General features: G+C 36.5%; 1 protein-coding gene across 8 annotated transcripts in view; it reads right to left on the bottom strand.

Annotated features, from left to right (window-relative positions):
* The window catches only part of ARHGAP24 (Rho GTPase activating protein 24), a 527517-nt gene that overhangs the window by 19994 nt on the left and 489277 nt on the right, over positions 1–18246 (bottom strand). For all 8 annotated transcript variants that reach the window (NM_001025616.3, XM_024454238.2, XM_047416235.1 and 5 more), the window contains 3 exons: positions 10505–10637; positions 7712–7785; positions 4982–5103 (listed from right to left, as the gene is read on the bottom strand). In NM_001025616.3, coding sequence (NP_001020787.2) covers positions 4982–5103; positions 7712–7785; positions 10505–10637 — 329 coding nt within the window. The remainder of the gene's footprint in view (positions 1–4981; positions 5104–7711; positions 7786–10504; positions 10638–18246) is intronic.

Genomic DNA, 18246 nt, shown 5'->3' with positions numbered 1-18246 from the left:
AACTTGTTTCTAATTATTTTTGGATGCAAGAACACTTTTTCTTTAAATACTGACTCATGCTGAAGAGTGGGCCAGGATGTAGCTAGGTGGTTTATGTGCTCAGTGAGGTCTCCTGAAAGTTTGGTTGCTGTGAGCTGGTTTCCCCTGGGGCCTGATTGATCCTGGGTTAAATGAAACAACTACACTCCCAGGGAATGGGGAGACCTTCCCGTGACCCCCAACAAATTATGATAACAGATGGGATTATTTTGCTTCTCCATTTTTCCTGTACTTCAAAAACAAAACAAAACAAAACAAAAACAACTTATCTACTTGTGCACCTATCCCTTACACAATTATTGGTGTACCTAGAGAAATTTACTTTTCTCATTGGGTATCAGGTTTCTTATCCACAAAAGAGGCAGGGGGACACTATGCAATTTTTAAAAGATTTCTCCTCAAATAACAAGATTTGCAACAAGAGTTTAAAGAATAACAACAACAAAAACACTGACTTCTAGGAAGATGATGGCAGCACAGTATTGGATCTCCTGAAATTCTCACATAAAAACAGAGCAACTAGATAGCCAAGTCAAAACTCATGGGCAACATTTCCAAAAAACTAGCTGACAGGGTATCTCCCAAAAGCCCCAAATACATGTTGGTCGAGACAAATCCCCATTTCCACAAGGCCTGCATGATGTCAGTGTCTCTGTAGAGGGAAGGAAAGAGGAGCAATGGGGGCTCTGATGGTCCTGGAAATAGAATATCCCCAAAGCGCCCCATAGATATTCACTGGAAAATGCGAAGAGTTAATTTAAGAAGAGCGGCTAAAAGTGGGAGGGATTGCACCTAGTCCAATAGAGGTGGCCAATGGCAAGGTCTGAAGGAGTGAGACATCCAGCCCCTAAGATCTCTCCACACTGACCAGCCAGGACTCCCTTCCAGACAGGGCTTTGCATGGAGGGGATACTGCTAAGAGAGAGGTGAAAATTGGGAAGGACTAGGAGAACAGAAATGAAAAAACAGGAAGAAAGACCAATGAAAATCAACAAGGCAATAAAGCCAGGACATCTCAGGAAGCAAGATGTCATATTTTTTGATATGATGGGAAAAAACAGATTGAGCTCTGTGAAGTCAGAAAAGCTAACCTGAATGGATCCTTTACACACACATGGAGTTGTGACAACATGTCATTTGGAAAATTCACTGAGTTATGCTAATCTTCCAAATCCTGACACACGTATTTCTATAGTATCAAAGATACTATAGATTTGTTAATATCAACACTAATCTCACCAGAAATGTGCTTAGGAATTTAGGAAGCTGTCAAGCTCAAGGTTTTGAATACATATTTGTCACATGCAAGTTTAAATTCTGTCAATGGCAACAAACTCTGACAGCTGTATTTCTTGAAGTGAAACGTTTAGTTCATTTTTGAGAATGTGTCTGCTAAATGCTCTAGTCTGAATAACTGTAGTTTGTCAGTTGTCCTTTCAAATAAAAATGGAGTTCCAAGAAAAATCAGTTAGTGCTGCTCAAATATCACACAAATGCTTCCCCTTGAGCCAATCATTGTGTTACTTTTAGAGGGAGCATGCAGAAGTGCTTTATACAGACAGCCGTCTCTGCACCCTAATATGAAAGAAATGTGTTCTCAAGGTCGTATATTTAATGCAATTAATATATTTTACTGTTCAGTAAGAACATTCCTAAGTAAAATTGGAATTTTCTTCCCTATTGTAAATGCGTGGTGGTGAAGAATATGGTGCTAGTTGGGTTTGGTGGCACTGCCTTGATTTGTACTAAGGTGCCAGCTGCTGTACCCGTCACTGCTTTAGCACCATCTGTGCAAATGTCAACACAGTGAAAGGGCAACAGCATCTTCATATTACTATGAAAATACATTTGAGGCCATGGACCTCCTGAATGCATCTCTGGGGCCCCCAGTTATCTGAATATTATATTTTGAGAATCTCTAGGCTGGAAAGACATCAATACAAGGACCAGTAGTGAACATTAAGTGGATAGATTTACATACATATCTCCAAAGATTAAATGAGGACTAAAATGGAGAGGGAATAGTGTATAATGGGTATATATTCTGAAAGCATATAGTATAAATATTAAAAGAATAAAAGGAGGATTAAAAGAGCACATGTAAAGAATTTTGCAGTAACCATACTGGTGTTGGTATTGTTATCCTGAGACTACTGTGTGTGTGACGAGTTATAGAGCAAATGATTAATTATGAGATGTTCTAATTCTGTTATCCTCAGTGTCTTTGCAAACCAGGATTCCTTGGAAGAAAGGGAATAAAACTGTAAAGAGAAAGGAATAAATAAAAACCCTGTAGTTATAATTTTGAATTGTAACTAATGTGAACTTGTGAGGCACTTTTTCTTTAATAGGTAAATGTGTATATATGTTTATTATGCATGTAATATGTACACATGTAGTGTGCATTTATATCTACTAGCTCTGCCCACTAAAAAGACTAGAAACAATGACCAAGCCAGTAGCAATGAGTATCACTGGCACTAAGCATCTAGCTTGCCTTAAAATATCATTTCCCCACTAAAAGAAGTCAGGAGTTTTTGGAAATTGACTGATTCCAGGTTTGGGGCATAAAACATATGAGCCTAAGAAATCTTGTCATACTACAAAGAAAAATAGCTACCCCAAACTAGGAAGGCCTGTCAAAAGAACTAAGAAGACAACTTGAAGATGCTTCCACTGGCCAAAGATGGGAAAATTTGAGATTCAGTGAAGGACAGTACTTACAATGTATTGACCAAGCAAATTGATTTTAATACATGACTTTATAATGATATTTTTTAAATATTCACAATAATACGTATACTGGGAAGACAAAGAAAATAGTACTCATTTTTAGAGGAGTTAAAAAATCTGTTTATGTGCTTTAAAAGCTGGTAAGTAAAGGGAAAGATTCAAGCAGCATTTGTCTTGCCTTTTAAAGATACCATTGGGTTCCTAAGCAGTAGATGAGAAGAAAATTTTTTAAAGTGTTCAAATTATTAATTTAAAAATTAAAATATTGCCACATGGATGAACCTTGAGGACATTATGCTAAGTGAAATAAGCCAGTCACAACAAGTATAACAGGTATATGAGGTACCTAGAGTAGACAAATTCATAGAAACTGAAAGCAGAAGGGTAGTTGCCAGGGCCTGGGGGAGAGGGAAAGGGGAGTTCGTGTTTAATGGGTAGGGAGTTTCAGTTTTGCAATGTAAAAAAGCTCTGGAGATGGATGGCGGTGATGGCTGCAAGACTATGTGAAAGTACTGAATGCTACTGAACTGTGAACTTAAAAATGGTTAAGATGATACATTTCATGTTATGTGTGTTTTACCACAATAACGAGTTGAAAAAACCACATAATTACAATATCAGCATTTCAGCTTCCAGCGAATTAATAGCTTTAGGAATTTCATTAAGTTCACAAAAAGAGAGATGAAGTGACATTATGTGTCTCCTGATTAAAGGACACAACACAATCAAAGGTCACGCCAAGCAGATCAAACATGGATTTTATCCAGGTCCTAACTTGTAGGAAATGCAGAGGGCAGAGAAATATTAATATATTACATTGCACCATGAATCAACAAATCCGTGGATCAACAAATCCAGACTACGGGAAACTCTACAAGTGAAATAACATGATTTTTCAAATGGCAAATTATAGGGGGTGCTGTATATTAAAAAATTCTTAAAAGGTATCAAGTAAAGGAATAGGAAACTTAAATGTAATGTCTGGGAAGTCCATTTGGGTGATAAAACTACACAGAAACACAAAGAAATTGCTATAAAATTCTGGATATTAGGATGACAGACACTGGGATTGGGTCAGGGCACAGGAAGAGTTTTGGGGATGCCTGGAAAAGTTCTCTATTTTTAAATATATAGTTATTTGTAGAGGACTTGTTTTATATAATTCATTAAGATGTGTGTATGTGTGTGTGCATGTGTGTGGTGGTGTTCTGTATTGCACGTATTTTAATTTATAATAAAGATTTCAAAAAACAATGGACTAATGTATCTCCAAGCTTCTTGTAGCTTCAAATTTCATGTTTTCTAATGTCTGCTAAACTCCTCAGATAGAAATTAAGTTTTCTGAACTATCTCATTGCCAAAAATCTGATGTTCAACTTATATTGCCCTTGGTGTTTAACAAAGGAAATCAAACTGAAGTGATGCAGGCAGACATGCAAAAGCTTTTTTTCTCACACGTAAGATCTAAAAAAATGAAAATATTGGAATTTTAAGGAAAGGAACGGTATCAGGTAGTAAAATCCAGGTGACTGAGGGGGACATTTTGTTCTAGACTAAATAAACCTAGAGTGAATCTAAAAATAATTATTGTTTCTCCTTTCCTTTTTCTTTTAAATTCTGAAATCATAAATTAGTCCAGTTTGTAGCAAACAATGTTGCTATTAATGACATAGAGCACCTAGGCCTGCTGGGAAAAAACACAAAGTACAGTTCATTGTGGAAAATAATTGAGACACTTTGTAATTTGAACAACAAAAATTCTTTCATGTTTTAACCTACAAATAAACAAGCAGCATTGTCTTATAAAAGACCATTTTTCCCTAAGTCAGTCAAATAAAATCAAAATTAATAAAAATGTATATTAACTGAAAATAATAACTTTTTGAATTTTCTGAAAATTGTAGTGAACTCACGAAGTGAGGTAGTTTTTTTCAGTTCTTGAATACTTTACATATGATTTATGAAGGTTTCATTTATTCTTGTAAGGCTAATGAAGAGGCGTTTAGTATATTTTATGTTTAGTAAACACAAACAAAAAATATCTGACTTTCAAAAGGAAGATTTTTACATTTAAAGAACTTCAGTTAATAAACGGAGTTGCCATGTATTCACTTATTACCTTGGTTTGCTCAGAGATGAGTAGATTCTGGCCAGTCAAGAGATAATTACTTCTTCTTTTGATAAGGGTATAAGATAATCATTTACTTACCCTCCATGATAGTCAAAGGATCTTCCACTTTGGGGCGCAGGATATTAGGACCAAAGACCGTTGCCAAGTTCTGCACACTCATTTTGTTAACTCCCGAGTAGGACTGTACTTCATCCAAGAATCTATGGAGTATAAGCATATGATTGAAATACAATGGGATCAAATTTGCCAGTGGAAGAAAAATCGATCATTAGAAAATTTACAAACTAAAGTTATGTTCAAAGATGACTATGGAGACAGAATTATTTGGATGTTCACCCATCTCTCACTCAAACACAGGGACAATGTATTGCAAATTAGAAAGGATCAAACTTTATTTATCATATCAACTATCTGTCTTGGCCTGGCCTGCTTTGATTTCCTCTGTCAATCAAAGGAACAGGTGTGTTTGGACAATACTAATATGGACTTGAGAGTCAACAATGTGGATTCCCTTCCAATCCCTCAATAAAGTAATAATTTTATATCTCTATTCAATTAGGGGACTGTAATAAGATCAGCTGGTAGGATGCCTTCTTTAGACAGGAGGAATTAACCCTTTTTGTGGAGTAATTTGTGAGCTTCAAAATTATAGTATATTAAGAAATGAGATAGATAAAATACAGGCCGGACATGGTGGCTCACACCTGTAATCCCAGCACTTTGGGAGGCCAAGGCAGGTGGATCACCTGAGGTCAGGAGTTTGAGACCAGCCTGGCCAACACATGGTGAAACCCCATCTCTACTAAAAAAAATACAAAAACGAGCTGGGTGCGGTGGCGGGCCCCTGTAATCCCAGCTACTTGGGAGGCTGAGGCAGGAGAATCGCTTGAACTCGGGAGGCGGAGGTTGCAGTGAGCCAAGATTGCACCACTGCACTCCAGCCTGGGCAACAAGAGTGAAACTCGGTCTCGGAAAAAAAAAAAAAAAAAAGAGAAATAAAATGCTGTAGAAATTAAAACACAGTTCTAATGATACCAAAAATTGCAAATGCAAACTGTTTCTATTTATTAGGTGCTAAAAAGTAAGAGGCATGAAATAATAGGAGAGATTGTTTTCATAATCTTTCAGCATTCCTTCATTCCCTACCTCCTCTTCATTTATACAAGAGCTTCTATAATTTCATGGCTTGCTAATTGTACTGATGAGATAAAGAGGAAATAATGAAAAATTAAAATAACATATTTATATAGTACTAGTATGTGTCTGTCACAGTGCTAATTTATTAAATTCTCAAAGCATCTCTCTGAGGTAGGTACCATTATTGTCTCTGTTTTACAGATGAGAGTCATGTGGTACCAGAGGGGGGATCTTCTCCAAAGACAGAGTTAGTAAGGGGCAAAGCTAAGACTTGAACCCACCGGAGGATGTGACACCAGAGGCCGTACACTTAACTACTATATCATGACTTTTAAAAAAGGTGCCTATTTCCACACATTCACTACTGTTATACAGCCTAAACTATAGTAACACTGAAGGCAAAAAGTCAAACTAGCATTTCTTATTTAAATTACCGGAAATTAAAAATCTGCTTAAATCTTTCATGAGAAGTTAGGCATTTCTATTGTGGAGATAAAGACTTACAATATGGTTCCAAAGAAGCTTTTTCATCCCTTTTACTTAAGGAGAATGTAATCTCTGTCTCACCCACTAGAATAACTTGAATTAGTTCAAAATGTTTGGATTATAAGCTTCCATATTAATAAGTCTAAGGTGTCAATGGCATGATTTCCTGCTTTTTCAAATTCTGGAACCCAAGGTACTGTTTGCTTCTAAGTATAATCATCACTAGAGGAACTTATTGTGGGAGGACTTGGAATTTCTACTCAGTTACACTGACAATTAACACCAAAATGTCTGATATTAGTCTTAGACTTCATAGTTCCTAGTCCCTTGAACGCTTATCTAATCATAACACCAAACACACACATAAATGATGCACTGTACTCAATTAAAACTTTGAATTTTATTTTAAAATGGACTGGGAAGCTATCATGTAAGACACCCTGCAGTGACTTGTAGTGCCAATCATCACTCTCTATTTAAATTTATTCTGTTTCAATTTTGCATATTTGGTTTCTTAAACAGGAGCACATATATGGCATATCCCATCCCAGGTCTTGAGTTATACATTGAGAGGTATATTTTCCAGGCACAATTATTTTTCTGGCACAATTATTTTTCTAACAGAATTCAGTTACAAATGTCTTTGATGAAACCTGAGGTGGGAGAGAAATGGAAAGAAAATAACATTTATTGAATGCTTACTATATACTAATCATTTAAAATATAATTCAATTTTTAAAACAACTATGTGAAATATGTGTTTTCATTACCATTTTACCTATTAGGACCCTGAGACTCAGAAAGAATAAGAGAACTGCATAAGACAGGCAACTAGTCAATGGCACAATCTTGGCTCCCATGCAGATGTTTCTCATGCCAAGGTGGCATGCTTCTTTTCCTAAACAATACCACTTCTGAAACAGTACAAAAAACTTGATTGAAGTTCAAAACAACCTATCTTTAGTGTGTAGAGGCAAGAGAAACTTCAAAAACATCACATTTCAAAGTTAAGCAATTTAATGCTCAAAGAAGCCTCTGAGATCACCTTGTCCAATCTTTTAATTTTACAGAGGCCAACACTAGGGCTCGAAGTAGTTGAGTGATTTTATTCGTTGTCAAACACAAATTAGTATCAGGCTAAATATGTCTTGTCTTGTTTACGTTTGTCCTTAGGACAGTTCTTACCTGCAAATATACTTGAGGAGGTTGTAATTTACCACTGGCAAACTCTTCACCTGCTTTGCTAATTCCTTAACACCCTGAGTACAAAGAAGAAAATAAATATTATTTTTCTACACGTTGGCCTTAGAATTAAAGCAAGTCGAAATGGCCATATAATTTTTTAAAAAATTAGTTTCACATGTTATCAGTGAAAGATCTTGTCCCGAAAACTTACCACCATCACAGTGAATATTTTAGATATATTTTCAAAGATGTACAAGGATTTAAAATATCTCCATAAGTACTATTTGTGGAGAAACAGATTCAAGTGAAGCTGTTATCATTTTTAACATATGCTCACAATTGACTGAAAAGAGAAGATAAGCTCATTTATTAATAAAATTATTTGAAGAAGAGTAAGTGATGTAGTGAGCATCCTTCCCAGTTTCAGCATGTGCAGAACATAGACAAATACATCTACTGACAAAAGTCTCTCAGAGCTGGTCATGTTTAGGATACATCATTTGGGGAGGGAGGATAATTGAAAAAAGTGATCTTTCTGGAAATTTCACAAGGGACGAATTTATTTGGTTCTTTTCATTATATGACTTCCCCTAAAATGTAAATGATAGCAGAAATGCCAATGGATAATGTAATTTGCTTTCTTCTTCTGCCCATAAAGGTCCAGATAGTAAATATTTGAGGCGTTATGGGACAAATGGTCTCTGCTTGCAACCACTCACCTCTTCTGTTGTAGTGCAAAAGCAGCCACAGACAATGTTATTTAACAAATGGAATAAAACTGCATTTATAAAAATAGGCAGCAGTTAGGCCGGGTGCATTGGCTCACGCCTGTAATCTCAGCACTTTGGGAGGCTGAGGTAGGTGGATCACGGGGTCAGGAGATCGAGACCATCCTGGCTAACAAGGTGAAACCCCCATCTCTACTAAAAATACAAAAAAAAAAAAAAAAAAATTAGCCAGGCTTGGTGGCGGGCGCCTGTAGTCCCAGCTACTTGGGAGGCTGAGGCAGGAGAATGGTGTGAACCCTGGAGGCGGAGCTTGCAGTGAGCCAAGATCCCGCCACTGCACTCCAGCTTGGGCCACAGAGCAAGACTCTGTCTCAAAAAAAAAAAAAAAAAAAAAAAAAAACAATAGGCAGCAGTTTTTGACATGAGTGCCAAGAAAATCTAATGGGGGAAAGAATAGTCTTTTAACAAACAGTGCTGGGACAATTGTATATCCACATGAAGAAGAATTAAGTTTGTTCCTTTCCTCACACCAAAAACAAAAATGAACTCAAAGTGAATCATAGTTCTAAATGTAAAAGCCGAAGCTATAGAAGTCTTAGAAGAAAATACAGGAGTAACTCTTTGTGACCTTGTATTAAGCAAAGTCTTCTTAGATATGACACACAACCACAACTGATTAAAAATAGATAAATTTGACTTCATCAAAATGTACAACTTTTGTGTTTCAAAGGACACCATCAATAAAATGAAGAGACAACTCACAGAATGTGAGAAAATATTTAAAATCATATTTATAAGGGACATATATCTAAACTATATAAACTCTTACAACTCAATACTATTAATAATAAGGCAAATAACCCAACTGAAAATGGGGAAATAATCTGAATAGATATTTCTTCAAAGGCAATATACTAATATCCAATAAGCACATGAAAAGATGTTCAGCATCATTAGCCATCAGGGAAATGCCATTCAACCTTCAATGAGATACGACTTTACTCGTGTTAGGATGGCTAAGATAAAAACGACAGGTAACAAGTGATGGTAGACATTTGAAGAAATCAGAATCTGCGCTCATTGCTGGTGGGAATTTAAAATGCTGGAGCCCTCTTGAAAAACAGAGTCACATATGGCCCAACAATTCTACCTTCTAGGTATATACTTAAGAGAAATAGAAACATAGATCCATGCAAAACTTTGTACGTGGATGTTCACAACAGCATTATTTATAATAGCCAAATAATGAAAAAAACCCCAAAGGTCTCTCTGATGAATGGATGAGTAATAGAATATTGTTTAGAATTAAAAGGAATGAAATACTTATAAGTGGCACAACATGAGTAAACTTTGAAAACAGTGAAAGAAGCCAATCGTGCACACACACCAAAAAAACATTGAATGATTCCATTTATAAGGAATGTCCAGAATAGGCAAATCTATAGGGGCAGAAAATAGATTAGTAGTTGCCAAGCGCTGGGGAAAAAGGAGAATTAAGAGAGGGTATGGGGTTTATTTTGAGGCAATAAAAATATTGTAAATATTCTAAAATTAGATTTTGGTGATAATCGAATATCTCAGAGTTGCACAACTCTGAGAATATACTAAAAAACACTGAATCATACATTTTAAATGGGCGATTGTATTGTATAAAAATTATACCTTAACAAAGCTGTTTAAAGAAATAGCAGTAGGTAGGATTTTGTATAGAAGCCACTATTTGAAGTGGTTTGGGTCCACACGATTAAAAGATTATGAGACACAGCAGTCACTTCTTTTGTGTGATGTGTGGCCTGACATAGCACTGCATTTATCATTTAGGGAAAGAAAGCGGCAAGTCGTGCTGATTTAATTTATTCAGCCATATTCTTTTTTTTTGATCAGAGAGGGGATCGGAAATGGTGCTTGAGCTGTATACGGAAAGTCTCAGTGTGTGTGAGGTCAATTCAAAGGATAGTGGAGAGTAACACCGGGATAGGGCAATGGAAATTTACAGATTTAAGACTAAGAACACAGAAAAAAATTCCAAACAAAAGCTTATTTGGAAATAAATGCATCAACTTACTGCTTCCTCTTCCTTGCTGAGCAGTTTGGCACATGACAAAAAATCTTCATACTTCGCATAAGGAATAACTGGTTCTGGAAGTTCTCGGAGGTACAGCTTAAGAAGTGATGCCACCGTGTGTACATCTGTGTTGCTGTGGAGACAGAAGTGTGAAGATATTCTTTGGAGTAAACTTCATACCATTCTATTTATTGTTTTTCAAGAGCCCAGGAGTCAGAATTCTATCCAAGTTGGCAATTGAATGAATCAACCCAGTTTTCAGAGAGCACTCATTTATGTGATGCCTATTAGATGCCACCACAGGTGGGGAGAAGAAGGCCTAGAAGGATCTATAGAATCCTCAGTGTGAGAGTGGAATGATGGCTACCAGAGGTTGGGAGGGATAAGTGTATGTGTCCGTGGGTGGGGTGGGAGTGGGGATAGTTAACGAATACAAAATATAGTAAGGTAGAATGTATAAGATCTAGTATTTGATAGCACAACAGGGTGACTACAGTCAACAATAATTTATTGCACATTTAAAAATAACTAAAACAGTATAATTGGAATGCTTATAACACAAAGAAATGACTGCTTGAGATGATGCATAGCCCACTTACCCTGATGTGATTATTACAGACTGTAGGCCTGTACCACAATATCTCACGTAACCCATAAATATATACACCGACTATGTACCCATAAAAATAAAAAAAATTAAAGAACCCTCAGTGTGATTTGAACATTCAAGCATTTTTCTTTATGTGTATTTGATGGTAAGCAAAGGTGTTAACTTAAGAAAACAATGAGAATATATTAGATCTTAAATAAAATATACTGTAATAAAATTTACAAAAAAATACCAAATCTATAGATGGGTATATGTGTGTATTCAATATCAAAATGAATTACTAAATTCTCGCTCATCTCTCAAAATGTTGGACTCATTTTTGAGAAGGTGTTGGTGTTTGCCTATAGATACTCGAAGCTTAGCGTGACATGCTATAAATTTTTAACAGAGCTCATTTTGAAAATAATTGATTCTAAGCATAATTGCTTGTCTAATATTCTAAGATGGCTGGGAATCCTTAGAATGTTCTAGAAAAGAAGAGAAATGCTATAAAAATAAACAATGAAAACTTAACGTCCTTTACATAACTTGAATAATTTATTTGTATCCTCTTCTGAGTGTGAGTGGCAAGATAACTTACTAAAATATTAATTTATATTTTGTCTTCTGTATCTTATATTTCCTGTTAATCCATGAAGATGGATGATAGTAAAGACAGCAAGAATAGAGTTTTAATTTGTGTGTGGGAAGTTGTTTTGTTTTTGTATTTCAGGGGAGAATAAGCAAAAGTCTGAAAGGAGAGTTGATTCCTGGAACCGGGAAGAGTAGTAGTGAACAACTCAGGGAATTCTTTACCTCACTCCCAAGCTGTGCTGCAGGAAATGACATGTCCCCAGAGAGGTGTGCTCTGAGAAGTTGGGAGGCAGGCACTGGGGTTTCCTGCCTCAGTGAATATTCTCTTATCCCAGCGGTGGCATGGAAGCAGAGCCAACTGTATGAAATTATATGAGCTGAGACAATGGGCTTCTCAGCTCTCAATTTTGGGCCCATGGGCTGATTCCATCAAATATTTACTGCACATCTACTCCTAATGGGTATTATAGAAACCCCTGGGCTAGGACCTCAGGGGTTTAAATAAAAGAGGCATTATTCTAGCCTGCTCACTACTTGTACCCTAGTCAAGGCTGCAGATACTAAGCTGATAATAAGACAAGTATGTGATTACAAAATAAGGTGAGTGGAAATAAGGAAAATTATTGCATACTATCTAATAACAAGACAGGGTTTGGAGGTCTTCTCTGAGAAAATGATGTTGGAGCCAAGATCCGAAGGGTGTGTAAGGACAGAAGGCATTTCTGATCAAAGCAAGGGAGAAAAACAGCCTCAAGTGGGAGGAAGCCTCCTGTCCTTGCAGAATTGACAAAGGCTAAGAAGGTCAGAGCCCAGAGTGGAAGTGGGTAAGGTCTGAGCTGTAGGCAGCAACCTCATGGACCATAGGACTTCACCTCCTTCAGGGTAAGGACTGAGGTTTTCCATTTTGACATTGGGGTCTCTCAGAGCAGGCATAGTGTCAACTGTTTTATAGATGTTAAAATGATGGAAGTTATCTGAAAGGGCTTGTTTTAACTAGCTAATTTTATTTTCTTGATAATTAAATAAATATATGTTTTTCTTTCTAAAATTCTGAACTGATAAACACTATAGAAGAGGTCATCTTAAAACCTTGTAAAGAAAATAAAAATCGTGTTCCCAGGTCATCTTCAAAACTGCAATCCTCATTAATTCCTAAAACTAAATTCCAAAAAATTGTTTGAAAAGACAGACCTAAAATAGTCTCAATGGTAAGACAAGGAAGACACTAGTATTTTTGTTTGTTTTCTGACAAACCACCGTATTTCATGTGCATCAAAGCCTTCTGTGTTTTTCTTGCTATATCTGCCCCATGAAGGGACAGTCATTAGTAGTAAAAAAACCACAGCTTGGGGAAGGATATGCATAGCAGTCAAATATTCCAGTAAAGTATTTCCTTTTGATTCCACTCTAACCCAATCTACCATCATGACTCAGATTTGTTTGCCTTCAGAGTCAATGACAATTAGCCATAGGTAGTACAGAAAGAAAAGAATATAAAAATAAAATATAAAATAAATAAGTATATATTTCAATATACAGAGTATGTTATGTATAATTTGCATGACTATATAAACAGAAGCTATCAAATATTTATGAATAAATACAATAAATAAATGAGACAATAATGATAAACAAGAAACACATTTAACAAGAAATCTGCTGTAAAGTTTCATTGATGATCTATTTATTACATTGACTATTCCCAAACACACTGTTTTTAAGGTAACTTGCTTAGCACTTTACTGTTTTGCTTTTAATGAAGTGAAGCATTTTATAAACTATGGTATTGAGAAACTTTGAACACTAGATGGCGAGATTGCAAAGTTAGACAATGGGATGGTGTAAAAATTGTGAAGGATGAAGGGCCGCAGAATCATTCTTCCTCTACCAGCAATTTTCTTAGCACCAAAGCTGCAGTAATGTTCCAAGAATAGAAATATTTGAGCCATGAATCAAGGTAAGAAAGGTGGAGTGGGATGATTATTTTATTCCTTCCCAGAAGTGATACATTATAAGAGCTTTCTAGCATTATAGTATATATGCACACAGCTAATTATATAGAAATGATGAAGAAAAAATGAACAATTATATATATATTTTTTGATTAACAAAGGTTATTAACTTTTTGCTTAAAGGCTAAGATTTAAAAATTTATGACTCTCTTTTTGGGGCTTTATTAAACTTAGGCTACTCAGTAGAGATAGAGAGTTCTGCATTTTTCTAGAGTTTTCATTTTTGCTTTGTCCTTTCTCACCGAAGAAAATAATCATTTCTGGATAGAATCTAATATATTTTTCCAGTTCTGATTCACCTCAAGAGGTTCTCAGTCACATGTCCTAATTGTCAGCAGGCTACCTATTGCAATGGGGAAGTCTGGCGTTTCTCTGAAAAATATCTTTGTATGTTCAGTCTATAAAATAGCAACCCTGTCAATCATACTCTCTAGCCTTCTATCTCCTATTGAAAATCCACTACTTTGCCAAATTAATATTTACTTCAATATGTTTAACCAATTAATTAGATATCAATAATATGTGTTAATTGCCCAATGTGCCTAAAAGAAAGTGCCATCTTTGTCTCAGAGAAATACATTTCAGTCTTCACCAAAGTGAAGTGAAGTGACTGCACTGTGGCAAAAGTCTATGTACAATGGAGAATAAAAATCCTTCACCTAATAACAACAACACATCTGCAAACATCAAGGCCTCACTGAAGGCCAATGAGTAGGTTATGCTATTAACCCCATTTAGGGTACTTTAACAGGAAACTGCACAGACAAAAATTCTTTTTGGCTAATCACTGAGATACGAGATGCTGTAGAGTCATGCTCTTTGGTATGTTAAATAAAATTGAAACTGGCCCAAGGAGTCCTCCCTACAAGCTCCTAACTGCAACCTAACTCAGTACCAAAAACAAAGTGAAAACCTAACTAGGAACAAATAGCTGAGTTTCAGCCAATCACAGGCAGCTGTTCAAACCATGTATGAGATGCATGCCATGTAATGGGGCTGTCTCTGTACCTCGCTTCTGTTTTCTGTAGGTAACTTCTTTTTCTCTGCCTGTAAATATAACCTGCACATGTGGTAGGGTGGAACATTCTGAACCATTTTGGCCCAAACTGCTGTTAGATTCTAGAATCACAAAAAAAGCCAATGAAGATCTACTAAACTAGATTTGTTGTAATTCTGTCTTTTAACAGGTAGAAGTTCAAAACTATTTGCTAACGTAAAGTCATTATACAGACTCAAGTCCCTTTCACTCAGCTGGTAGTAGAGTCTTTTCAGAAGGTAAGATACATAATCAAGCACATTATATCCAGTGGTAGGAAAAAGGCAGCACAAGATAGGCCCAAAGATCTGAGTGAAAGAGCTATCAGACCAGGAGGAGCTTTGTAGCATATGTCCCTTAACTGAGCAACATATAAGTTTGGTTCTTATATTGTACTTGGACTTTACGTCTGAATCGTGTTTCCTCCTGGTTATTGCTTTTTTACAAACTTAAAGGGAGAATTACATGAGGCTTCCTATGATTGACTTAATTTTATATTCTGATAGGTCTACTTTGATCATTCTGGGATCAATCATTCACTCAACAAGTAGTTCCTGAACACCTATGATGTGCACAGCCTCATGCTAAATGCTAGGTGAAAAATAAATGAACAACATTTATTCTTCGTTTGAGTTTATATTTCTAACTGATCACCAACACTTTTCCACACCATGCCTCATTTTCTTCTACTTCGTAACACTTTCTGTATATTCTAACTGCTGAGTTTCTGCTAGGTATGTGAACTGAAGAATGTTCTTTATATTTCCTGGAAATTATCTGTCCTACTTATCATCTAGGTGCAACATAGGCCTCTTATTAATCTGAACAAGGATAAAGGAGTGTGACAAGAATCCCTCCTTGCTCATTCTCTATCCCCATTCCTCCTTTCCTCATAAACATACTTACACACACTGATAAATCCAAATGCCACCATAATTACAAGTATAATATTACACAGACAAAACCTTGGAACATTTAAGCCTCAAAATTAGAAATGGGAATTTTTCACTCTGAATACTATGTAGAGAATACGGTATAATCCCTTGGTTTAACTGAATAGAATGAATTTTCAATGCACCCACACAGGAAGTTATTAAAGATATTGTGAACTTATCTGCAACAAGCACAATGAGATGACCTAAAACTCACTTAGAATTAAAAAAATAATAATAATGTCATATCCATCAGCCTCCAGGGAGAACGTACATGAGACTGAAAGCATTTGGCAGTACTTCCAACACCAATGCTACCACGAAATGGTCTTGCTTAAGCAGTCCTCTGCTTTGCCTGCTGAGTTCAGCAAGACACAGAAAAGCAATTCCAAAGACACTAAGCAGCTCCAGACTAAATTCAGCATCTCTTTAAAAAGTCTGGTTCTGTTCAAACTTATTTTTTTATGTATCTGTCAAAACAGATGCACTTTTCAGCAGTGAAACTAGAATCTGGTTAAACTGTCATGGCTTATTGCACAGTTACATAAATGTCACCACTGAATTATATACAAAACCAAAGGACTGTTTCACCTCCAGGCTAAGTGCTGGACTACATTGAACTAGTGCTTGTCCCAGTAGAATTATCCTGGTTTAAAGCTACTGATGGCAGAGAACTGCATGATCCTGCTATGGTCTGAATATCCCTCCTATCCTCTTCGTACATCAAAGCCCTAACTCCTAATGTAATGGTACTTGGAGATAGGGCTCTGGGAGGTAATTAGGGTTAGATGAATTCATGAGGGTGCGGCCCTGGCCTGATGGGATTAGGGCTTTTATAAAATGAGACACTAAAAAGCTTGCTCTTTCTCTCTCCCCTTGTCCAAGAATCCAGTCAGAGACAGTTATCTGCAAGCCAAAAAGACAGCCTTCACCAGAGCACAACCATATTAACACCCTGATCTTAGATTTCCAATTTCTGGAACTGTGAAATGAGAAGTTTCTGTTGTTTCAAGCTACCAGTCTACAGTATTTTATTATGACAGTTTGAATTGACTAAAACAACCCCCAAGTCTACTTTTGGTGAGCTTGTCTATAAAACTGTTGATGGAACTGTCAGAGTACCAGGTAATGAAATGTTATTGCAAAAGCAGAAACATGCTTTCAGTTAATGTGAATTTATGGAAACACTCTCAGATAAACCAATGTGATATAGAAAACAAGGATTCACAACCTTGGCTGCACACTGGAATTACCTGAAAACTTTTTCTAATAATTGCTGACTAGGTTTTATACATTCTGGTATAATTGATCTGGGTTAAAGCTTTGGCATTGATATTTTATTCTCACATGCAGCCAATATTGAGAAACACTGATACAGAACATGTATTTGGAGTGGAAAATTCCAAAGGAGGGAATTCCAAAGAAAGGAGGGAGTTCCAATGTGTAATGGTCACGAGTTTAAATCTGAACATTTCTAACATCCATGGGAGCCTACTAGTTACATATTTGTCTTTCCAGTATTCCCCAGTGGAAGACGTGGTGGAAAGAACGTTGGTGGGGACATAGTGCCTGATATGATTTGGCTCTGTGTCCCCACTCAAATCTCATCTTGTAGCTCTCATAATTCCCACGTGTTGTGGGAGGGACCCAGTGTGAGATGATCGAATCATGGGGGCTGGTCTTTCCTGTGCTGTTCTCATGATAGTGAATGGGACTCATGAGATCTGATGGTTTTAAAAATGGGGAGTCTGCCTGCCCAAGCTCTCTCTTTGCCTGCTGCCATCCATGTAAGATGTGACTTGCTCCTCCTTGCCTTCCACCATGATTGTGAGGCTTCCCCAGCCATGTGGAACTGTGAGTTCTCCATGAAACCTCTTTCTTTTGTGAATTGCGCAGTCTCCGGTATGTCTTTATCAGTAGCATGAAAACAGACTAATATAGTGCCCAGCTTTACCAAACTGTCACATTGATCTTTTCTTTCCTCCCTCTAGAATTTCTTCTGTGTATAGAGGCATGTGTGTAGAGACTCCTCCCTTTCAATGCTAGTTTATCATGTACAAAGAATATTTGACAGTTTAATATACATTCACTCCAACATCCCATATGTGCAAGCGCATGCATGTGAGTACACACACACACACACGTATACACAAATCACTCTCTTTACGTATATAAGATACTCAATAATAAACAAATAAAAATAAAATACCTTGTAGTATAGCTGTAAGATAGAGATTACTTTGAGCAATCCCAGTTTGGTGCTTCTAAACAACAGACTCCTCAAAAAGAAAGTAGCTAACTCCCTAAACTGAAAAAAATTATGGATATTTATTAATTTTCTATCTCTGACTAATATTTCCCATGAGTAAGTCTCTATTTCAATGTTTCTTTGACACCTTACTTGCCTTTCCCTTCCACCTCCTTGCCTCTTCTCTGACCACCATTCCTTACTAGTTAGCTCCCAAGCTCTTCTTCCTCTGCTGGCCTCTAAGTGGTGTTGTTTTCCTGGATAACCTGCACACTCTTTGTATTAATCCATGAGTTCCACTATCACTTTGCTACAAGACTACATAATATCT

Source organism: Homo sapiens, chromosome 4, assembly GCF_000001405.40.
Source record: "Homo sapiens chromosome 4, GRCh38.p14 Primary Assembly".
Classification (NCBI taxonomy): domain Eukaryota; kingdom Metazoa; phylum Chordata; class Mammalia; order Primates; family Hominidae; genus Homo; species Homo sapiens.
The sequence above is the reverse complement of the archived record's forward strand: the minus strand, read 5'-3'. Positions and strand labels throughout refer to the sequence as shown.